At 45.9% G+C, this 23,287-nt stretch overlaps 1 protein-coding gene across 9 annotated transcripts in view, besides 3 other annotated features; it reads left to right on the top strand.

The window, feature by feature from the left end:
* Positions 1–14,411, top strand: part of CLN8 (CLN8 transmembrane ER and ERGIC protein) — a 33,512-nt gene extending 19,101 nt beyond the window's left edge. For 7 of the 9 annotated variants that reach the window (XM_047421512.1, XM_005266022.2, XM_005266023.2 and 4 more), the window contains one exon: positions 8,091–14,411. In XM_047421512.1, coding sequence (XP_047277468.1) covers positions 8,091–8,408 — 318 coding nt within the window. In that variant the 3' untranslated portion in view covers positions 8,409–14,411. Of the gene's footprint in view, positions 1–764; positions 3,038–8,090 lie in introns of those variants that run through there. The other 2 variants (XM_047421513.1, XM_011534747.3) reach the window with 1 other exon arrangement.
* Positions 5,963–6,883: an enhancer, noted in NCBI's record as "H3K27ac-H3K4me1 hESC enhancer chr8:1726288-1727208 (GRCh37/hg19 assembly coordinates)". NCBI's record gives its function as "activates a minimal SCP1, AML or CMV promoter by ChIP-STARR-seq in primed H9 embryonic stem cells {active_cell/tissue: H9 hESC(primed)}" and the evidence as "EXISTENCE:reporter gene assay evidence [ECO:0000049][PMID:30033119]".
* Positions 11,554–12,053: an enhancer, noted in NCBI's record as "H3K4me1 hESC enhancer chr8:1731879-1732378 (GRCh37/hg19 assembly coordinates)". NCBI's record gives its function as "activates a minimal SCP1, AML or CMV promoter by ChIP-STARR-seq in naive and primed H9 embryonic stem cells {active_cell/tissue: H9 hESC(naive and primed)}" and the evidence as "EXISTENCE:reporter gene assay evidence [ECO:0000049][PMID:30033119]".
* Positions 13,127–13,249: a silencer, noted in NCBI's record as "fragment chr8:1733452-1733574 (GRCh37/hg19 assembly coordinates)". NCBI's record gives its function as "represses an EF-1alpha promoter that drives an FKBP-Casp9 reporter gene in an ReSE screen in phorbol 12-myristate 13-acetate-treated (for megakaryocytic differentiation) K562 erythroleukemia cells {active_cell/tissue: K562(+PMA)}" and the evidence as "EXISTENCE:reporter gene assay evidence [ECO:0000049][PMID:32094911]".

Below are 23,287 nucleotides of genomic sequence, written 5' to 3' on the forward strand. Positions count from 1 at the left end.
ACTCCTGACCTTGTGGTCCGCCTGCCTGGGCCTCCCAAAGTGCTGGAATTACAAATGTGAGCCACCGTGCCTGGCCTCTTTTAATACTTTAGAAAAACTGAAGTAATATCTGTGCGTACACACATACCTTGCTTGCTTTTTATTTTTGAATAAGGTTGTTGTACTAGTGCTCAGAAGTGTTGGGACCTAGCATAGTTATTTGCCTAGCACTTTCTTTCTGTTTTTGAAGAACATGTTTTAAAAATATTTGTCACTTGATTGTCATATTGATGTCAAAATGTTCTTCATGTTAAACTCTTTAAACTTTTTTTCCTTTTGAGACGGAATCTTGCTCTGTTGCCCAGGCTGGAGTGCAGTGGCATGATCTTGGCTCACTGCAACCTCCGCCACCCGGATTCAAGCAATTCTCTTGCCTCAGCCTCCCAAGTAGCTGGGATTACAGCGCCCACCACCACGCCTAGCTAATTTGTGTGTGTGTGTGTGTGTGTGTGTGTATTTTTAGTAGAGACGGAGTTTCACTGTGTTGGCCAGGCTGGTCTTGAACTCCTGACCTCAGGTGATCTCCCCGCCTTGGCCTCCCAAAATGCTGGGATTACAGGCATGAGCCACCGTGCACAGCCTTAAAATTGTTTTTACATAGATTCTTGCTATCTTTTATGACCCATCACATTGTTTATGGGATATTTGATATGAAATTTGAGATCCTGCAAATGTTCAGCCATTCACACAAATGGGTCATGTTACTGCACATTTCTTGTCTACAGGAGACTGGTAGCCTCGAGAGGAAAAATAAGCATAACAAATCACTCCTGCCTTCGGGGTCGAGGTGGGTAGATGATATCAGTCCATCAAAAGTGCACTGCAGTGTAAACAGTACAGACTGTTCATGCATAACCACCATGGACACCAGCCGGGTGTCAGATACTGTGCTGGCACCTGGGAACTCAAGGAGGAACTTGTGTTCCTGGTGTCCCCTGAGGTTGGCCCCATCTGGCACCAGATGGGGTGTGTGAGCACAGTGACAGGAAAGTGCAGAGAAACCATGGCCCCAGATGCGGACCCTCTGCAGGAGGAGCAGGTGAGCACCTCGGAGTTAAGGCAAGTGAATGAGGGTGAGTGAGGCACAGTCGTCGCCAGTACAGAGCCTCACAGGGTGGCCATGGAAGTAGATGGAGCCTATGGCAGGCGATACTGGAGACATCCTGGTGAGTGCGTGGTTTGGGCGGTGGCAGGAGGAGGTTGGGGGCCGGTGTGATTTGGGTAGAACTTACCAAGGAAGAAGGGTTGGAACCATGAATAGTTTGAAAGAGCCCCTCCGGTGACCTGGCTACTGAGTTCCCTTGGCGAGCAAATGACTGAATATGAAGCTGCTGGTCTAAGTGTGGGTCATTTTGGGAACGATGCTGTGACCTGGGACCCCATCAGCATCCTGTACGCAGCTTGCAGTTTTCCAGTTTTCTCTTTGTGGGCGTTATTTCCATAAGAGTGCAGACTTCTGGGATGCAGGTCAGGGCTGTGACTTCCCTGGGTTTCTCTGGAGTGAGATCAGTGTGGAGTGGAGAGGTGTGTGCTGGAGGAAGAGGCCTTGGCCTGTGCTCCGCATTGCCTACTCCTCTCACCTGGAAACACCGGACTTCAGGAGTCACTCGGCTGTGGCAGAAAATAAAGTTCTTGAAAGGAAAGCAGAGGCGCTCACTCACATCGATGCCCTAAACATCAATACCACATCAATGTCCCAAGTGGTAAATAGTGACTAAATTATTAATACATCCCACAAGATGGTGTGCTTGAGGTCATTAGTGTATTTTGAGAAATAGATTAATAGTTATCTTGTATTTTATTTTTATTACAAGTTCTTTAAAAACAACAAGAAAGACGTGAGTCTTTCTGTCTCTCCAGTCCTCAGGGGAAAGCAGTGTTGGATTTCTCCAGGGTTTTATCTGTGCTTCTCCTGGAGCCAGGTGTGGGGACAGCGTCTCCAGCAGTTCTCCCTCCCCTGGTGTGGTGGTGGAGCCCAGCCTCCAGGAGGACAGACTCAGCGAGATTTTATTTTGAAGTTTGCACATTCTCTAAAGCTTTTAGGGTGCTGTTTGTGTAGAATGGAGAAAGGGTTATTTAAGTATTTACTTCTAACCCTGCTCATGTTAACTGTATAAAGCCAACAGACCCTAATAAGAGAAAATTATAACCTAAATTAATATAGCTCAGGGCCAGTATGTCTACATAGTTCTATTTTGCTCTAGTTGAAATACTAATAAATGCAGTAAGAAAACACTATGTCTAAAATGTTGAAATTCTTTGAAATTCTTTTAAAGCTGATAGATTCTTGCATAGTAGTAGGGCATGAGGATTCAACATTTCTCCCCCATCAAGGTCTGATTTGATCAGAACTAAAGGATGTAAAGACAAAATATTACCATCAATTTAGGATGGGGGTCTAAGTCAAGCACAGTGGCTTATTCTTCGTATTTCTGTCTTAGATTTGGTTCTACTATTTATCCACAGACTCACTAGTTCATAATACAAATGAGGTGATATAAAAGCACTGTCAGGCCAAGTGCGGTGGCTCACACCTGTAATCCCAGCACTTTGGGAGGCCAAGGCAGGCAGATCACTTGAGCCCGGGAGCTCAAGACCAGCAACATGGCAAAACCTCGTCTCCACAAAAAATACAAACATTAACTGGTCATAGTGGCACACGTCTGTAGTACCAGCCAATTGGGAGGCTAAGGTGGGAGGATCGCCTGGGAGTTCAAGGTTACAGTGAGCTGTGATTACGCCACTGCACTCCAGCCTGGGCAAGAGTGAGACCCTATCTCAAACAAAAACACAACCCGCTGTCAGTTTTTATATATTTTGTATATATACATGTGTGTGTATATATATGTATGTATACAGTCGACCTTCTGTATCCATGGGTTCTGTGTCTGGATTCAACCAACTGTGGATCAAAAATATTTGGGAAAAATTTAAAATAATATAACAATAAAAAATATAACAAATAAATACCAATAAAATGTAACAATTTTATATAGCATTTACATTGTATTAGGTATTATAAGTAATCTACAGATGATTTAAGGAGTAAGGGACAGTGTGCTTAGGTTATATGCACATACAAAGCCATTTTATATAAGGGACTTGAGCATCCGTGGCTTTGGGTATCTGCAGGGAGCCCAGGAACCAGTCCCCCAAGGATACTGAGGGTGACTGTATATTTAAGTATAGATGTAACTGCCGGGCTCCAGAGCTTTGCATGTGTTATGTCACAGATTTTGTTCCTGTAGATTTTGCTACTCTTCTCAAAGCCTTTGGTGACTTTGACTACAAAAATTTTAGTGCCTTAGTAAAACCAAAGAACTCTTCGGTTCTCAAGCTTTGAGTTTTCTAAACTTAAGGTAGTGATTGCATTCTGATATTACTATTGGTAATTTAAGATGACTACTTTCAGTAAGTGAGGAAAATGGTGGAGGAGAACTTTTTGTGAATTGTGAGGGAATGGTGAGTGAATAAAGACTGAGCTCGCGAGAGTCTGGGGCTGAGTGCACAGTGTACTGTACAGTTCATCACTGTGTGGGGCCTTCCAGCTACTGTAGAGGATTCTGATGTTCAGAACATCGACTCTTCAGTGTTTTGTCTTCAGACACACACTCTTTTCACTCCTGTTGATACTGTACGCTCTCTTGAGGAGCAATGAGCACTCTTGCAGGCCCTGTGCCAGGTGCCGGGTCATAACAAAGACGATTCTCAGTCTTCCGTAAGTGGGAATCTGTGGGAGGCACATATGCATGTGGTGCGGCACACACGACAGAAGATTCTGGAAGCTGAATCTGTGAGGGGCACACGTGTGTGGTGGTGCTCCAGCACACACGATAGAAGATTCTGCAAGCTGAGTCTGTGAGGGGCACACGTGGGTGGTGGTGCTCCACACACATGATGACAGAAGATTCTGGAAGCTGGAATCTGTGAGGGGCACACATGCGTGGCAGTGCCCCGGCACACAAATGATGACAAAAGATTTTGGAAGCTGGAATCTGTCAGGGGGATACTTGCATGTGACTGTGCTTCTGTTCACAGAGAAGGTTCTGGAAGCTGGAATCTGTGAGGGGCAGCTGTATGTGTGGTAATGCTCCAGTACACATGTGATGACAGAAGGTTCTGGAAGGTGAACTCTGTGAGGGTTGGGTATGCATGTGGCCCCGCTCCTGTACACACACATGTGATAACAGAAGGTTCTGGAAGGTGAAATCTGTGAGGGTTGGATATGCATGTGGCCCTGCTCCAATATACACACATGATGATAGAAGGTTCTGGAAGGTGAAATCTGTGCGGGCAGATGTGTGTGTGGCCTTGCTCCAGTACACACACACACGTGATGACAGAAGGTTCTGGAATCTGGACTCTGTGAGGGGCGCACGTTTGTGTAGCGATGCTGCAGTCCATTGCGTGGCAGAAGGAGCATTGTCTTTCCTTTGGTTTTTGTCAGCTCTTTGTTTACTTGATAAATGCTTGAGTGTCTTCAGTTTGATAACTAGCAAAGGAAAACAGCGTGTGAGACTTCTGGTGTCCTTGCGGCTCCATGCATAGGTCTGTGCCTGACTGCAGTGCACCCACATGTTCACTCGAACAGGGGTACTTGGATTGTCTTAGCCACGCTGTTCATTTGGCCTCAGACTGAGTCCTACTGAAGTCCCATCATCAGTGGAAAGGGCTTGTGAGCTGAGTTTGTCCACGCAGCAGAAGGGTGGGCAGCAGTCTGGATGGTTTACACAGACACGGTGAGAGACGTTACCCGGACGCAAAAGAGTACACAGCGTGTGATACCGTTCCATGTACAGTCATACGTTGCTTAACGACGGGCTGTGTTCTGAGAAATGTGTCCTTAGGCTATTTTGTCATCGAGTGGCCGTCATAGAGTACCTTTCTACATGTCTAAGCCAACTCCACACTCGGCTCTATGCGACAAAGCCCATTGTTCCCAGGCTGCATACCTGTACAGCATATGGCTGTACTGAATACTGTAGGCAAGTGTAACACAACTGTAAATATTTGTGTATCTAAACATACCTAAACATAGAAAGGTATAGTAAAAATACCATGTTAAAGATGAAAAATGGCACACCTGTGCAGGGCGTTCACTGGGAATGGAGCTTGCAGGACTGGAAGCTGCTCTGCGAGAGTCACAATGAGTGGTGAGTGTGAGGGCCTAGAACGTCACTGTACTCTCCTATAGACTTTATGAACTCTGTGTACTTAAGCAATGCTAAATTTATATAAAAAAATTTCTTTAATCATAAAGTAACCTTAACTTACTGTAACATTTTTACTTTATAAATTTTTAATTTTTTAAACTTTTCCACTCTTTTGTAATAACACTTAGCTTAAAACACAAATACATTGTGTGTATATATATATATTCTTTATACCCTTATTCTGTAAGCTTTTCTTAATTTTCGAAACTTTTTTTTAAATTGTTGAAATCTAAGATGCAAATACACATTCATCCAGCCCTGCACAGGGTCAGGATCATCCATATCACTGTCTTCCACCTCCACACCTTGTCCCACTGGAGAGACTTCAGGGGCAGTAACAGACATGGGGCTGCTACCTCCTATGGTGACAGTGCCTTCTTCTGGACCCTCCTGAAAGACCTGCCTGGGGCTGTTTATAGTTAACTTTATTTTCATCAGAGAAGGAGTACACTCCAAGATAATGATAAAAAGTATAGTATAGTAAAATAGTAAATGATAGGAATTGTTCAGCTCCATTATAATCTTGTGTGGAACCACTGTCTATACACTGTGCGTTGTTGACTGAAATAAAGGCGCTGAGCCCTGGGCACTGCTGTAGGTGCAGTTGTCCAGCCTCACCTGGGTGTGGGCCCACCTGGTACTGCCGCTATGGGTCTGAGGGAGGTGTGAGATCGAAAACTTGCCTGTGCCAAAGTCCAGCATTGTCCTTCACCACTTATGGACCTGGTGGTTGTGGCCAGTTGTCAGAGTGACTATACTGTTTACCACCCAGACAAGGATGTCAGGGACTGCCCCAGGCAAACCAGGATCTGCAGTCACCCCAGGGTCTGAGAACCAGCTATATTTGTGACTTTTGCTTTGGACATATCAAAAACCTCCAAGAACTTGTAGCCTAACTCTATAATTTCACAAGTAAGAAATAAGTTATAGTATTAACTCTTCACATTTCATTTCAATCCCATGTCACTTAACCATCCGGAACTGACAGCCATAGGTTCTTCTGGTCTGTGGGTTTCTCCCCTGTCCCATTCAGTTTGGAGGCTCCAGGCTTGTTTTGGATCCTGCTTCCTCTGCTCTTCTTCCTGAGTGTTCACTGTGCCTCAGCAATGCTGAGTGCGGTGAAGCATGTGGTCCTGGCCCACCTTGAGGTGGCCCCAACCACAGGTGGGAGTGTTTCATTTGCACCTGGGGTTGGGGTGAACTAAGTGCTTGGTATGTTTGTGGAAAGCCGCACTGGCGGTCTCTGAAGGCGTGTGTGTGCATGAGGGTGCCGTGATGCACATGCGAGAGCCCTGAGGTCCCCTCTGAGACCTGGGAAGGACTCCCGTGACAGTTGTATGAGGCAGGCTGGGTTACTCCATTCCGCTGGCCTTTCTCTTCTAATTGTCCTCACATTAATTTTTTCAGTCCAGACTTAGAATAGATGCTCTTTGACTCAGGATGGGGTTACATCCCAATAAGCCCACCATAAGTTAAAAATATTGTGTCAGAAATGTGCAGCCTCCCGAACATCATGGTATATAGCCTGGCCTGCCTTTAACATGCCCAGAAGACTTGGATCAGCCTACGTTTGAGCAAAATCATATAGCACAAAGCCTGTTTTACAACAGAATGCTGAACAGCTCATGTAATTCAGTGAATGCTCTACTGAAAGTTGAAACAATGGTTGTGTGGGTACTTGAAGTACAGTTTCTACTGAGTGTGTATCATCTTTGCACCATAAAATCAAACAATTGTAAGTCAAACCATTGTGAGTAGGGGACTGTCTATAACAGCTAATATACCTGGGGCTTTAAATATTCAAAAACACCAGAAGAACGTGTTAGAATTTTTTATTTTATTTTATTTTTTTGAGACAGTCTTGCTCTTTCTCCAGACTAGATTGCAGTGGCACGATCTCAGCTCAGTGCAGTCTCTGCCTCCCAGGTTCAAATGATTCTCATGACTCAGCTTCCCAAATTAGCTGGGATTACATGGTGCGCCACCATGCCTGGCTAATTTTTTTGTATTTTTATTAGAAATGGGGCTTCGCCATGTTGGCCAGGCTGGTCTCAAACTTCTGACTTCAAGTGATCTACCCACTTCGGCCTCCCAAAGTGCTGGGATTATAGGCGTGAGCCACCGTGCCTGGCCCAAGTTAGAATATTTTGCCGGGGAGGTATACTGTATTAGTCAGCTCAGGCTGCCACAGCAGACTGCCATAGACTAGGCAGCTGGAATAGCAGAAATTCCTTTCTCACAGTTTTGGAGGCTGCAAGTCTGAGATCAAGGCACCAGCAGATTCATGTCTGGTGAAGACCCACTTCCTGGTTTACATGGCCACCTTCTGGCTGTGTCCTAGCATGGAGGAGGGGAAGGCTCTGGTCTCTTTCTCTTCTTATGACACTAATCTCATCATGGGGCCTTACCCCCATGACCTCATCACTTCCCAGGGTCTAGGTATGGGAGCTTGATATACCTGTGTCTGGTTTTGCCAAATAAGTATTGTTTATTTACTTAATATGAGAAAATTCAAGATAAAACAAAGATTGAAGGGATACTGAAAGAAAGGTTGAATTTATCATAGCTTTAGGGAGCAGAAGCCAAAGAGCAAGAGGAGCAGGAAAACAGCATGAGCGGGCAAGGGTCAGCCCTGCTGGCCCAGGTGCGCCCACAGAGCTGGTGGCCTCCTTTCAGAATGAAGTCCCAATGAGAGCAGAGCCCTGGGGAGGAAATTCTTTTGCTTTGAAATGAATTTGTTTTGTTTGGTAAGTAAGGTAGCAAATACCTTTTTGTGATGTGAAGAATGAATTTTGGCAGTTTCGCATTGACTTGTGCATTTGTCTTCTCTCCATGCAGGCGGGCTGGTCCGAGTCTCTGTTTTGGAAGCTCAACCAGTGGCTGATGATTCACATGTTTCACTGCCGCATGGTTCTAACCTACCACATGTGGTGGGTGTGTTTCTGGCACTGGGACGGCCTGGTCAGCAGCCTGTATCTGCCTCATTTGACACTGTTCCTTGTCGGACTGGCTCTGCTTACGCTAATCATTAATCCATATTGGACCCATAAGAAGACTCAGCAGCTTCTCAATCCGGTGGACTGGAACTTCGCACAGCCAGAAGCCAAGAGCAGGCCAGAAGGCAACGGGCAGCTGCTGCGGAAGAAGAGGCCATAGCTGCTCCAGCCGGGGCTCCGGGGCGGCAGCAGAGCTGGCACACCGATTCTGGGAAGCCCCGCGAATGATGGCTTTTGAATTAATGAGGCAGTGAATGTTTTGTGTTTACTTCTAAGGGAAATACTAACTTTCTTTCGCATTAGTATTAATTTTGAAGTAGCTACAAAGTATTTTTAAGAAATTATAATTTTATGACTGTCTGGCAGGCTCTGTCAGTTTAGCCGCGCCGGACCGTGTCAAGCATCTAGGAGAGGAGTCCATGGTGTCCAGGCATCGGGGCGTCACACCTGTTGAGGAGTGGGGTGGCTTTGAATGCTGGAAATGGCTTCATAGTGAAGTGCCTCCCACAGGGCGGGTGGGTCAGCGTTGACTCTTTCCAGCTGCACACTCATATGCCGTGTGTCTTATTCAGAAGTCACATTCTTTTCAGTTGGAGAGAATTGGGCTAAGATAGAAAATAACATGATTTGTTCCTTATTAAAGCTTCCCAGCGTATGAAATTCTAAGCTGGGTGGGGTGGCTCACACCCGACGTAATCCCAGCACGTTGGGAGGCCGAGGCAGGTGGATCACTTGAGGCCAGGAGTTCGAGACCAGCCTGGTCAAGATGGTGAAACCCCATCTCTACTAAAATTACAAAAATTAGCCGGGTGTCGTGGCACACACCTGTAATCCCAGCTATTTGGGAGGCCAAGGCAGGAGAATTGCCTGAACCCGGGAGGCGGAGGTTGCAGTGAGCTGAGATCGCACCACTGCACTCCAGCACTCCAGCCTGGGTGACAGAGCAAGACTCTCTCTCAAAAAAAAAAAAAAAAAAAAATTCTAGACCGAAGTGTACGGCAGTGCCATCTGGTGGCAAGTGGTACAAAGACAACGCTGAGGGGTAGTGACTCCTGTAGCAGCAGAGACGCCTTGGAGTTTAACCCCCACCAACCAGAGCGTGGGCTGGTAAAGATGAAATCTTGCAAGTTTTTTTTTTTTTTAAATCATGGTACCTGTTTTAAAATGAGAAGTTATTATTCATACTGTGTTGCTCATTTGACAAAATAAGGTAAGGATTTCATAATCAGGTTGTCTGGGTTTCAGAGCTGTTTTTAATTGACTGAGTTACCTACAGGCACCCAATCTAGACCCTAATTCTGTGGTTGGTGTTCCTCTGTAGATTTCAAGACAAGTAGTGATGTCATTTTCTCCCTGAGCTGTAGGGTGGACCTGGACCCCTCAGAGATGCTCGACTGCAGGGTCCTGGGGTCCCTAGAGTGGTCCTGCAGCAGCCCCTGGCAATGAGCTGCCTGATGATGAGTCCCAAGGTACATTGTTCTACTGTTTTATACCCAGGTAGAAGTTACACAGCAATTTAGCAATGTTGTTAACAGACATACAGAATTGTGTGTGTGTGTGTGTGTGTGTGTGTGAGTGTTTTGATATAAACGTGCAATTAAAATTCAAAGTTTATTTTTTATCACAAGCACCTTTGAAATGTACGTGGAAAACGTCGGCTGCTCGTGAGAATCATGTGTGACTTACGTTCCTTATGTTTTATGGAACTCTCGGAACAGTGTTTTGTTTTTGTTTAGTTTTTGTTTTCGTTTTTTTGAGACGGAGCCTGGCTTTGGCTCCCAGGCTGGAGTCCAGTGGTGTGATCTCGGCTCACTGCAACCTCCACCTCCCGGGTTCCAGGGATTCTCCTGCCTCACCCTTTCAAGTAGCTGGGATTACAGGTACCTCTACCATGCCTGGCTGATTTTTTGTATTTTTAGTAGAGACAGGGTTTCACCATGTTGGCCAGGCTGGTCTCTGACTCCTGACTAAAAGTGATCTGCCCACCTCGGCCTCCCAAAGTTCTGGGATTACGGGCGTGAGCCACTTCACCCGGCCCGGAGCGGTGTATTTTGATTGCTGGTGCTTTAACTATATTGACCAAGGTGTATAGTAACCTATTTATCACATTTTACGAAGCAATTTTAATCTTAAACACATCCAGCAAATGGTGTCCCTGCTGAAACTTTTAACTGGAAACCTCACACCTGGCAGGCAGCACTCTCTGCAGCCGTGCCCTTGTGGAGTCAGCAGGAGCTGGTGTTTTTCAGCCAGACAGAGGCATAATAAAGTGACTGATGTTTACAGAACCCAAATGATGTCTTCCTCTCTCTCAAAATAAACTAACCTATTCATATTGCTGTGAATGCTTTATCTTGGAGATAGAAAATATAATGATAAATTCATCATGTGTTCAGAATTCGATTTGGAGTTGGAAGTGGACAGCCTAATTTTTATCTCACCTCCACTAGGACTTTGACCTTCCCAGGGGTCCACACTTTACCTCCTGTATCTTCATACGCGTGTGTGGATGCATAGAGATGGAGGTGCTGTAGAGAAGCACAGGCTCACCCGCTCCGTCCAGTGTCACCCACACATTGGTCCGGGGACCCCTCAGTGCAGAGCCTGAAGTTGGGGGTTTAGGGGTGGAAAAGGCTTCGTGAAATGTTAATGATGCGTACACCTTCCAGATGGCACAGCACTTTCCCATGGTCCTCACTGGCCTCAGTCTCCCTGACCGGCAGTGTGAGGGGATGTAGCTATAGTGGAGCATGGTACAAGCGACATTCATGAGCTCTGACTTCTTGGTGCCAGGTTGGTGTGAGCCTGGGCCCGGCCCACTCAGCGGCCCACATTGGCCAGCATTCAGCTGCACGTGTGTGCTGCGTGCTTCACATCCTCTATTGAGAGTTACAGCAAGTGTTAAACGAGGTGAGTTCACATAACAGGAATTCTGGAACTGCTTGAAAACTAGGACGATTGGGCAATATCGGCCTTAACTCCACCTGATGGCAGGTGACCCGGATAGAAAATGGCCCTGCGTTTAGCCAGGATGTGGCTCTCCAGCTTGGCTTCAGTGTGATCACTTGTCAGTGCGCTTTCTCTTTCGATAGTGAAATCCTTCTCTATACCTATGTTTTGTTTTGTTTCTTAAGTTGGGAAACAGAATGGGCCAGGGAGGTTGAGTGACTGAAGACCAAGGGTTGGTGCAGCCTCCTCGCCGCGCTGCGGGGGCTGGGCCGCACAGGCTTCTGCCCTTCTCGGTGTCCAGGCTCCTTGGGTGATGCTGGAGTTGTCATGGCCGCAGTTCAGTGTGAGATTTTTTACCAGGTATTGCGCTTAAGGGACATGATTTTCCATTTTCTTCGCCCGGACAACTTGAATGAAATGGGCACTGTTGATTCCACTTCTGTCGAGGAGCTTCGGGGCTCAGAGAGGTGATGACGTGCCCAAGGTGACGCAACTCGTGAACAGCCGTGCCTGCCTTGGGCGCAGCCTCCGGCGCCAGAGCTGGGCTCTTCAACACGGCATTTAGCGCAGAAAGTCGTGGTTCAGGCAGTATGGGCCGCTGTGACAAAACACCTAAGACTGGGTAGTTTATAAAGAACAGACATTCAGGCCAGGCACGGTGACTCACGCCTGTAATCCCAGCACTTTGGGAGGCCGAGGCGGGTGGATCATTTGAGGTCAGGAGTTTGAAACCAGCCTGGCCAACATGGTGAAACCCCATCTCTACTAAAAAAACAAAACTAGCTGGGGGTGGTGGTGCATGCCTGTGGTCCCAGCTACTTGGGAGGCTAAGGTAGAAGAATTGCTTGAACCTGGGAGGCAGAGATTGCAGTGAGCCGAGATCACGCCATTGCACTCCAGCCTGGGTGACACAGTGAGACTCCATCTCAAAAAAAAAAAAAGAACGGACATCATTTCTCACAGTTCTGGAGGCTGGAAGTCCAAGATAAAGGTGTGGGCTGATTAGTTTCTGCTGGGAACACTGCATCCTCACGTGGTGGAGGGGATGGAAGGTCAACAGGCCTCAGCTAGTTCTCCGCTGCCTTTTTATGAGGCATTAAGCCATTTGCAAGAGTAGGGGGCCCCACCTCTTAATACCACCGCAATGACAATTACAATGTCATGTGAATTCTGGAGGGGACACGGTCACACTGCAGCATCAGCACCCGGTGAATGTGGTTCTCTTCCCATGTCCGAATTTTGTGAGCTCCACACGGGCAGGGTTGCATCTGTTTTATTCTCTGATTGATTCTAAGCCCCATGTCCCTGGCACAGGATGGCTGCTTGGCAGTAGGGAGTGGATGAACCAGTAGTACCCAGGGCTGCCAGGCAGGGCCCTGCAGGGGACAGACCCAAGGGCTGATATGGGGACACCTGCTGAGGGGGGAATTTACCACGGTAAGGGCAGGGCTGGGAGGCTGGGCAGCCAGTTTCACCCTCGCACAGGCTGCCTGGCAAGACCAGCGGCTGGAGGTGATGTCCTCAGTAGAGAACGGTGGCCACTGGAAACGTGTGGCCAGAAGGGGAAACGCTCGGGCCTCTGGTGGGGGCCAGCCTGGGGTGGGGTCGGCCAGGGTCAGCTGCCTTTCCTTCATGCTGGGGAGGAGATGTTGTGTGCATGTGAGAAAGCATTTGATAGCATGCCAAAAGTTTCCTCCATTATGTGCGTGTCAAGTGTTTGACCAGGTCAGAACTCTTGTTCTATGCGAATGTGCTCACGCAGACAGAAGCGGAGGGGCTCCGTCGCTCTGCCCTCACGCCGCTGAACCGCGAGGGTCTCCCGCTCCTCAGGCTTGCGGCTCGGCCGCGAAGTGTGTCAGGTGTGCATCCTGGGTGCTCCTTTGTGCTCTGTCCTACGGTGACACAGGCGGCGTGGGGTTAGACAGGTACCGGTCAGACTACGGTGACACAGGCGGCGTGCGGTTAGACAGGTACCGGTCAGATTACGGTGGCACAGGCGGCGTGGGGTTAGACAGGTACCGGTCAGATTACGGTGGCACAGGCGGCGTGGGGTTAGACAGGTACCGGTCAGATTACGGTGGCACAGGCGGCGTGGGGTTAGACAGGTACCGGTCAGATTACGGTGGCACAGGCGGCGTGGGGTTAGACAGGTACCGGTCAGATTACGGTGGCACAGGCAGCGTGGGGTTAGACAGGTACCGGTCAGATTACGGTGGCACAGGCGGCGTGGGGTTAGACAGGTACCGGTCAGATTACGGTGGCACAGGCGGCGTGGGGTTAGACAGGTACCGGTCAGATTACGGTGACACAGGCGGCGTGGGGTTAGACAGGTACCGGTCAGATTACGGTGGCACAGGCTGCGTGGGGTTAGACAGGTACCGGTCAGATTACGGTGGCACAGGCGGCGTGGGGTTAGACAGGTACTGGTCAGATGCACGGGCTCCCTAAACCCCTGCTGTGGCTTCGGCAGTAAAGACAGGACGCACCCATGTCACAAGAGGAGCACAGGCAGGGGTGTTGGTGTTGGGGCAGCCCTCAGGGTCTCCAGACCCCAGCCCCACTCACACAGCAGCCTAGGAAGGAAGGGCAGAGTCCCAGGTGTCAGCTGGTGGGTCTCCCAGGAGCTGCCCCTCCCTGGAAGTCACAGGACAGGAATGACAGATCAGGGAACTGCAGGAAGCTGCCACCTCTGGGGTCAGAATATGCCCAGCCTGCGGGGGCTCTCTATCGGGGTCTTCGAGAGCCAGACAGCCTGCCTTGTGCTGCATACCTGGCTTTGCTCTGTGCAGAACCCAGCACACGTGATTTTGTGTGACATGCCAGCAGCCTGGCTCCCAGGACAGGAGGCCTGCCCTGGGGGAGGGGCTGCAGGAGGAGGGGGGGCAGGCACCCATGAGTCTGTCCAGCCTTGTCACAGATGCATCGCCCACCCTGCGGTCCTGATTTCAGCTCACCTCAGAGTAAATCAGAATAAACTGCACCCAGACTTTCACGAATGCATGTTGACGCTTTCAGTTCACCCCTTTCTTTGCTAACTTTCTTCCTATTTTCTTCTAATGCGAGAGCTTATTAATTCCATATTTATCATTTTGAATAACTTTTCTCCTTTTTAGTAACAAAATGTACTTCACTCTTAGTAAAATGTATTTACTATTTTAGTAACAAAAATATACTTGCCTAATCATGTTTAAAATATAGTGATGTGAAAAATTCAGACGTCTCTATTTCCTTTCTTCCGATGACTCAACCCCAAATGTCTGGAATTGATTCCGAGGTATCCAGGACCCACAGCCAGCCATCCAAGAGGAAAAAGAAACCACACCCTTCCTTCTGGGAACCTGGCCAGGAACCCCAGAGCACAGGCGCCTGGCCTTAGTGACACTTCTTTTCCACATCTGCAGGCCCATGGAGTGAATTCATTTCTTTTCTCTCTGCATGTATTTTGCTTTTACCGTTGTGCTGTTTCACGCTTGGCAGCCTCAGTTAGCACTCCAGCCCGCCTGAAGCCGTGCACAGCCCATTCCTGCAGGGTTTGATACCTGCAACCTCAAACCCATCAAAAGAGTCCAAAAATTAAACCAAAGTTAAAATCCTCCATTATTACAGAAAGTTATTAAATGTCAAGTCTCAATCTGAAAAGTTTCTGCCAAAACTTTACATAAAAAACTTTTTTTTTTTAATTTAAAACAGGTTCTCTCTATCGGCCAGGCGTGGAGTGCAGTGGCGTGATCGTGGCTCACTGTAACCTTAAACTCTTAGGCATAAGTGATCCTCTTGCCTCAGCCTCCAAAGTAGCTAGGATCACAGGCGCATGTCACCATGCCTAGCTAATTTTTAAATTTGTTGTGTAGAAATGGGGTCTTGCTGTCTGGCTCAGGTTGGTCTCAAACTCCTGGGCTCAGGCAGTCCTCCCATACTGGCCTCCCAAAGTGCTGGAATTACAGGCATGAGCCACCGTGCCTGGCCTACACAGAAAAGTTTTATAGTCCTTGTAACGTTCACGTTTTCTGTGTTGTTTTTCAAAAATCATATGGGAAATGCAAAATCCCAATTGGAACACAGTGCATTTTAGCTGCTGTTTCATTTGTTGCAAGGAATTTCCAAGCATATCTGGTCAACCCCAGAGATTTTGTTTCCACACAAAACAATCACGGAGCACAGAACGTTAGAGCCATAGAGTGGTTTTGTGGCAACAGCCAAAGCTTAGAAAGGTGGAGGCCACCATGCGATATTCCCATTGTGTGTTTTCTGTAATTTCAGATTATCTCAAATAGAAAGCACGCAGCCCTTAAAAAAATAAAGCTCAGGAAAAATCTCATTTGCTAAATGTGGCTTTTTACATTTTAATTTGGAACTAGTTGCAGGACTGGAATTGCATTCTGCCAGCGTCGGTCCCTGGTCAGCCAGTCCTCTGCCAGCTGGTGTCTGTCTTCTGGCCCTTGGCATGCACACAGCACAGTTCTGGCCACTGAGAAGGGGAGGGCTTGCAGCTGAGTGCGTTTGCCTTTGCAAGTGAAGGCAAGCCTGGATTGAGGACACCTTCCCGCCCCTTCCTGCCTCCTTTTTCCTTGAAATACAGTCCCGATGCCTATAGGGGCACCTGCCGTTGGCACCATGAGGGGCAGGCATGAGGATCCACATCCACACTCAGGCATGGGAAGCAACGAGTGGCACAGCCCTGGGCCACCAGCCTGGGGTCCCATCACGCAAGGAAAACACCGGCCTGACCGCAAAAGTGAAGGAAACGCCCCACCTGCCGTGTTCACCTTTACCCTTTCTCACAGACGTTCCTAAACACACAGGATGAAGGTGTTAACCTGCTAACCATGTTAACCACGTGAATGATAGAAAGCTCTCCCTAGGAGACACTTACGGTTTGCAACTGTGGACTTTTAAAAATCATCTTGGCTGGGAGGGGAGACAGAGTGGAGGGGCTGGACTCGCCGCCTGCATCTCAGATGCTGCAGCTTCAAAAGGAGGCTTCCTGGTTTAAAGGAAGTTGCTCTGTTCCGTTTTATTTTTGTTTTTAGCTTCTTATTTTGAACTAATTTCAAACTTACAGAAATTTGAGGGGGAAAAAAGAACAAATCTTCCATATACTCTTTATCCCTATTTATCTATTTTTAACTTTTTGCCACGTTTGTCATAGCAGTGTCTCTTCCCTTTCCCACTGTCTCTGTCCCTCTCCTTGCCTCTTCCTCTTTCTTTCTTTCCCCTACGTTACTTTATATCCCTTACCCCTTAATACTTTCGTGTTTATTGGCTGGGTACAGTGGCTCACATCTGTCATCCCTGCACTTTGGGAGGCTGAGGCGGGTGGATCACCTGATGCCAGGAGTTCGAAACCAGCCTGGCCAACATGGTGAAATCCCATCTCTACTAAAAATACAAAAAATTAACCAGGTGCACACCTGTAATCCCAGCTACTAGGGAAGCTGAGGCAGGAGAATTGCTTGAACCCGGGAGGTGGAGGTTGCAGTGAGCTGAAATCACGCAATCTCATTCCAGCCTGGGTGACAGAGTGAGACTGTGTCTAAAAAAAAAATAAAAAATTCAATGTTTATTTCCTAAGAATAATGATATTCTCTTATGTAACCACATAAGCTATCAATTCAAGAAATGTAACATGGAGCCAGTACCTTTTATCTCATCTACCGTTTTCATTCCAACTTTGACGGTTTCTTTCCTATCCTTTTTTTTCTTGGTCCAGGACGGAGTACCAGATCACATGCTCTGTTTAGTAATCATATCTCTTTATTCTTCTTTAACCTGCTGCAGTTCTTCAGCCTGTCTTTGTCTTTAACAGCAGTGATATTTCTGAACAAATACCAGCTGGTTATATTAAAGAATGCCCTCAATTTGGTTTGGTCTGGTATTTTGTCAGGATGGAATTCGAGTTATATATTTCTGGCTGGAGTGCTCTGTAAACGGTGTCCTTGAGATATCAAACACAGAGACGTCTGTCAGCTTGCCCTGATTGGCAATGTTAATTTTGGTCCCTGATAAGGTGGTTCCTCCTCTGAACAGTCACTGATTTTCCTCGTCCTTGGGTATATTGCGGGAGATCTGCTGAGGCTGAGAACGCCCTGTCTGCACATAAAGCTGCCTCCTGCCCCAAGCTGGCCTCACTGGCACCAAGTCACGTTTGCACTCAGTTGGGTCAACCTTCACGGTGATGGCTCAATATTGCTAATTTTCCAACTCCGTCACTTCTTACTGCATTCTATAAAGAAGGGCTACTTTCTTCCCAGTGTTTGTTTATTATCCCTGTGGGTTCTTGGATTCTCTGTTTGGCAACGGTATTCTATTTATAGTGGGTTATAATTGATTGTTGTTGTGATGTTGCTGCTCCCGTTGTTCCAGGTTTGCTGTGGGGGTCTCTTCAGGCTGTTGAATCGTCCTTCTTTGTACCAGTCCTTGTTTTGAGCACATCCTTATTTTCTTTTTTCTTTTTTTTTTTTACATGTCTGCATTTCTTTTTATTATTATTATTATTTTTATTTTACTTTAAGTTCGAGGGTACATGCGCACAATGTGCAGGTTTGTTACATATGCATGTGCCATGTTGGTGTGCTGCACCCATTAACTCGTCATTTACATTCGGTATATCTCCCAATGCTATCCCTCCCCCTCCCCCCACCCCACGACACGCCCCGGTGTGTGATGTTCCCCTTTCTGTGTCCAAGTCTTCTCATTGTTCAATTCCCACCTATGAGTGAGAACAATGCGGTGTTTGGTTTTCTATCCTTGTGATAGTTTTATCAGAATGATGGTTTCCAACTTCATCCATGTCCCTGCAAAGGACACGAACTCATCCTTTTTTATGGCTGCATAGTATTCCGTGGTGTATATGGAGCACGTCCTTCTTTCTTTTCTTTTCTTTCTTGCTTTTTTTTTTTTGTGACAGAGTCTCACTCTGTTGCCAGGCTGGAGTGCAGTGGCGGCTCACTGCAACCTCTGCCTCCTGGGTTCAAGCGATTCTCCTGCCTCAGCTTTCCAAGTAGCTGGGACTACAGTCATGTGCCACCATGTCTGGGTAATTTTTGTATTTTTAGTGCAGATGGAGTTTCACTTTGTTGGCCAGGATGGTCTCGATCTCTTGACCTTGTGATCCGCCTGCGTCGCCCTCCCAAAGTGCTGGGATTGAAGGCGTGAGCCACGCACCTGGCCACGTCCTTATTTTGTATGCAGCAGACACACGCCTTCTCTGCCGTGTGGTTGGATCCAGCCCTTTCTCTGAGAATTCTGGTTCTTTTTAGTGAGGAATGGAATTTAGAAGTTAAGATGTGGGTGGGAGATGTGCTCATTGCTCATGGGCCATCAGAACCTCCACACCCTTCTACCTCTGCTGCAACCCAGCCCCACGGCACTTCCTTGCCTGCCTCATTCCTGTGCATCCCGTCTTGCATGGTGACGACCCCGGCTCACAACAGCAGAGACAGCATCACGCATGGCTCAAACACGCTGTAACACAGAGCAGGTTTGGAATGGCTCCACCCACAGGGCCACAAGAAACAAACCCATGGAGAGTTCCAGATCTGTTTGCAGCTTTTTTCTTTAGTCTGAGGGTATGCAGTCAAAGTGCTGTCTCCAAAAATTACTTAAATTTGTTTTGTCCCGACTCCCCTTCAGATGATGGCTAATCATTTGACAGACACTTGGGTTCCTTTGTTGGCATTCTGTTGTAGCATTTTCCCCGATTCTTGATAATTTTATTATTTGAATATGTAAAATGTCATGATTCCAAAAGTTAAAACTATTCAAAAAGCTGTGCCCAGAGAAATGTCTTCTCCTCTCTATTTCTCCTGCCCTGTTTTCTCCAAAAGGAACCAGTTCGTTTATTTTAACAGCTTTCCTGAACTATAATTCATATACCATAAAATTCACCCGTTTAAAGTGTATTTAGTGTTTTTTAGTATTCATGGAATTGTGAAACCACCGCAATCAATTTTAGAACATTTTTATCACCTAAAAAAAAAAAAAAAAGTATTTGTCCCCATTAGTAGCTATTACCCATTTCCCGCCCCCCGACCCTCACTCCCGCCCCCCCTCCCCCCGCCCCGCCCCAGTCCTCCTCCCTGACCTTAGGCAACTGCTATCTTTTTGTCTCTATGGATTTGCCCATTCTGGACATTTCCTATAAGGGGAATCATACAATACATAGCCTTGTGCAGCTGGCTTCTCTCACACAGCACCATGTTTTCAAGGTTCATCCGTGTTGTAGCGTGTACCAGTTCTTTATTCCCTTTTATTGCCAAATCATACCCCATCGTATGGATTGACCACATTTTATGTAGCTGTCCATCAGTTGATGGCCATTTGCGTCATCTGCCCTTTTTGGCTGTTATGAACAGTTCTGGGATGAACATCATGTGCATGTTTTTGTGGGGACATAGGCGTCCCCTCTCTTATGTATTCCGCTAGGAATGGAACTGCTGGGTCCCACTGCTGGTTAGATGCTGAGGAACTGCCAGACCGTTTCACGAAGCACCTGCACTCTTGGCTGCTTTACGCTCCCTTCAGTGCGTGAGGGTTCCGGGCTCGGCACATCCTCAGCAGCCCTTGTTACTGCCCATCTGCGTCGCGACCGCCATGCTAGTGGGTGCGCGGTGGTGCCTGAGTGTGGCTTGCTTCCCATTTCCCTGATGGCTGATGACGCTGAGTGACCTCACTGGCACCTGGCCCCTTCGTGTGTCTTCCTGAGAGCAACGCCTCTTCACATCCGGTGTCCTTTTGGCCTGGTAGGGTAATTCTTTGATCGTGGAGTTGGAAGAGTTCTGGATCTATTCTGTATGCACACCACTTATGAGACACCTGGTCTGCACAGACCTCTTTGCACTCTGGGGCTTGTCTTCTCACTCTCTTGATGTTTCTAGAAGTTTCTATGTTTCTTTTGTTGTTTGTGGTTTTCGGATCATATCACAAAAGGCTTTGCCTAACCTGAGACTGCAAAGATTGACACTCATAGTTTTTTCTGAGAGTTTTCTAGTTTTACCTTTTACATTTAGGTCTTTGATCCCTTTCTAGTTTATTTTTCTACTTAGATTAGTTAACCTGTTCTAGGCCGTCTTACACATGAAATCATGCAGGATTTTTTTTACAGAAATCCTTCTTGTTACAATTTCAGCATTTATATTTTTGAAAAACATATGTCTTTCATCTATATTTCCTAACTAATGTAACATTTTTTAAAAAGTACTTTTTTATGTTAGCAAATCTCTCTATATCTGTAGGGTCTTTTGTTCTATATTTTGTTGATTTGTATCTTACTTGCTTGTTTTTTGGTTTGATTGGTCTTTTTCAAGCTCTACTTTATTAATCTTTCTAAGAAGTAGTGGTTTTTTTGGCTAATCTTTTTGATAAGTTTTTATTTGTTTCTGTCCTTATATTCATTATTTCCTTTCTTCTTGTTGTTTTCAATGTATTCAGTGTTTCTATTCAGTTTTCAGATTTTTGTATTGAATATTTTGTTTTATTTTGAAGTTTTCTTGCTTCCTGTAAATACATTAGAAATTATAAAATTTCTTTTAAGTGCTAATTTAACATTGTTTCACAAAGTGTGACATTTTTGTTTTTATTTTCATTTGGTTCTAAATATTTTGTAACCCTCTTCTGGTTTACTTTTAAACCCAAGGGATATTTAGTAATGTCATTTCCTTTCCAAAAATGTGGTATTTTAAAACTTCTATCCTTTTGTTATTTATTTCAAAATTTATTTTACTATTACATTAGAACACACTTTGTTGCTTTAGAGTTTATTGTGTTTCTTTCTTGCTAAATACATTTTTCATGATATATGATCAAATTGTGTAAACATTCTATGCATTTTTAAAAGTATAGTCTCCATCGGATGCAGAGTTCTATGTAAATATAATAATTTAGAATTTGTATGTTTCAAATCTTTGATGTCTGCTATTTTATATGTTTTAAGAAATATCTAGTATAATTGCCAACTTATGTTTTTCTCTGTAGAGTTGTGTCAGTTTTTGCTTTTTTTTTTTGAGACGGAGTCTCCTCTGTCACCAGGCTGGAGTGCAGTGGCGCAATCTCGGCTCACTGCAACTTCTGCCTCTCGGGTTCAAGTGATTCTCCTGCGTCATCCTCCCGAGTAGCTGAGATTACAGGCATGCGCCACCATGCCCAGCTAGTTTTTGTATTTTTAGTGGAGATGAGGTTTCGCCATGTTGGCCAGGCTGGTCTCGAAAACCCTTGACCTCAGGAGATCCGCCCGCCTCGGCCTCCCAAAATGCTGGGATTACAGACATGAGCCGCTGCACCCGGTCAGTTTTTGCTTTTTTAAAGAAACATGCTTAAGTACACATGTGATCATGATGGTTGCATCTTGTTCATCTGTTTCCTCTTTCAGGTGTGTAACAGCATGCTGTTCGCTGATTGCTTTGGACTTGGCAGATAGCAGGGCTACTATCTAGTTTTATATTGATTCCAATTTGCCTAGTACTTCTTTTTCTATTTATTTTAAACTTTTTAGTATCCTTTACTTTTAAATATGCTTCTCTTGGAAAACTGTTGATTCTTTCTTTATAAATCCAAGCTTCGTATTGGTGTTTTAGCTCATTAAGTTGATTGTGTCTGGTTGCAGCAGGACTTTATTTCTGCCTCCTTCATTCATAATTGGCTTTTACATTCATTTCTTTTTCCCTAAGTTTCTCCTATCGATTTTAATGGTGGTTACCTTTAGTTTAAGATCCACATCAATACATAGCTAATCGTATTGATTTCCTGAGCAGATTAATATTAAATCTTTGGACTCCCATGTTGATTCTGTTTAAATATTTACTTTTGCATTGTTGTAAATGTACTTCATCTTCTCTCCTCACTTTGGTCCTGGCCTTTTTTTTTTTTTTTTTGAGACGGAGTTTCGCTCTGTTGCCCAGGCTGGAGTGCAGTGGTGCGATCTTGGCTCACTGCAAGCTCTGCCTCCCGGGTTCACGCCATTCTCCTGCCTCAACCTCCCGAGTAGCTGAGACTACAGGCGCCCGCCACCCCGCCCAGCTAATTGTTTGTATTTTTAGTTGAGATGGAGTTTCACTGTGTTAGCCAGGATGGTCTTGATCTCCTGACCTTGTGATCCGCTCGCCTCGACCTCCCAAAGTGCTGAGATTACAGGCGTGAGCCACCGCACCTGGCTGCTCCTGGCTTTTTTAGATAACAATAGACTACTAAAATCTATTTGATCTAAAGTTTTTTATACCCATAGTTCCTATCAACATCCTCCTGGATTTATTTATCTTCTAATTTCCTTGAAGAACGTTTTCAAAGTGAGTTTTGGAAAAGTGGATCTTCTGAGGCCTTTTATATTGGAAGATAATTTGGTATGTGCTTATACTTCAGTGACAGTTGAGCTGGCTATAAAATTCTATGTCAAATTCCTTTTTTTATGTTTTATTTTATTTTATTTTATTTTATTTTATTTATTTATTTATTTTTTAGACAGAGTCTTGCTCTGTCTCCCAGGCTGGAGTGCAGTGGCATGATCTTGGCTCAGCTCACTGCAACCTCCAACTCCCTGGTTCAAGGGATTCTCCTGCCTCAGCCTGTCTAGTAGCTGGAATTACAGGCATGCGCTGCCATGCCCAGCTAATTTTTGTATTTTTAGTAGAGACGGTGTTTCACCATGTTGTCCAGGATGATCTCCATCTCCTGACCTCATGATCCACCTGCCTCGGCCTCCCAAAGTGCTGGGATTACAGGTGTGAGCCACTGCACCTGGCTTCTATGTCAAATTATTTTCCTTGAGGGCTTTAAAAATATTACTCCAGTGTCTTCTGGCACCCATTGTGGCCTCTGGAAACTCTGAAATGAAACTTACTCTTTTGTCAGTGATCTGCTCTTCTTCATAGAAACTTTTGGAATTTTCTTTGATATTCTTGAGTTTCACTGTCAATTATGGGTAAGTTTCCCATCCATCCTATTAGACACTCTCTAAGCCCTTTCAACTTGAGAGCTTTCATCTTTAATTTTTCTGATTTTACCTTTGAATATTTTTTTCTCCATTTTTATTTTTCTCTGTTCCTGGAACTCCATTATCTGTACATTTCCACTTCTTTAATTACCTTACTTACCTTTAAC

The sequence above is a fragment of the Homo sapiens genome, chromosome 8, assembly GCF_000001405.40.
Source record: "Homo sapiens chromosome 8, GRCh38.p14 Primary Assembly".
NCBI lineage: Eukaryota > Metazoa > Chordata > Mammalia > Primates > Hominidae > Homo > Homo sapiens.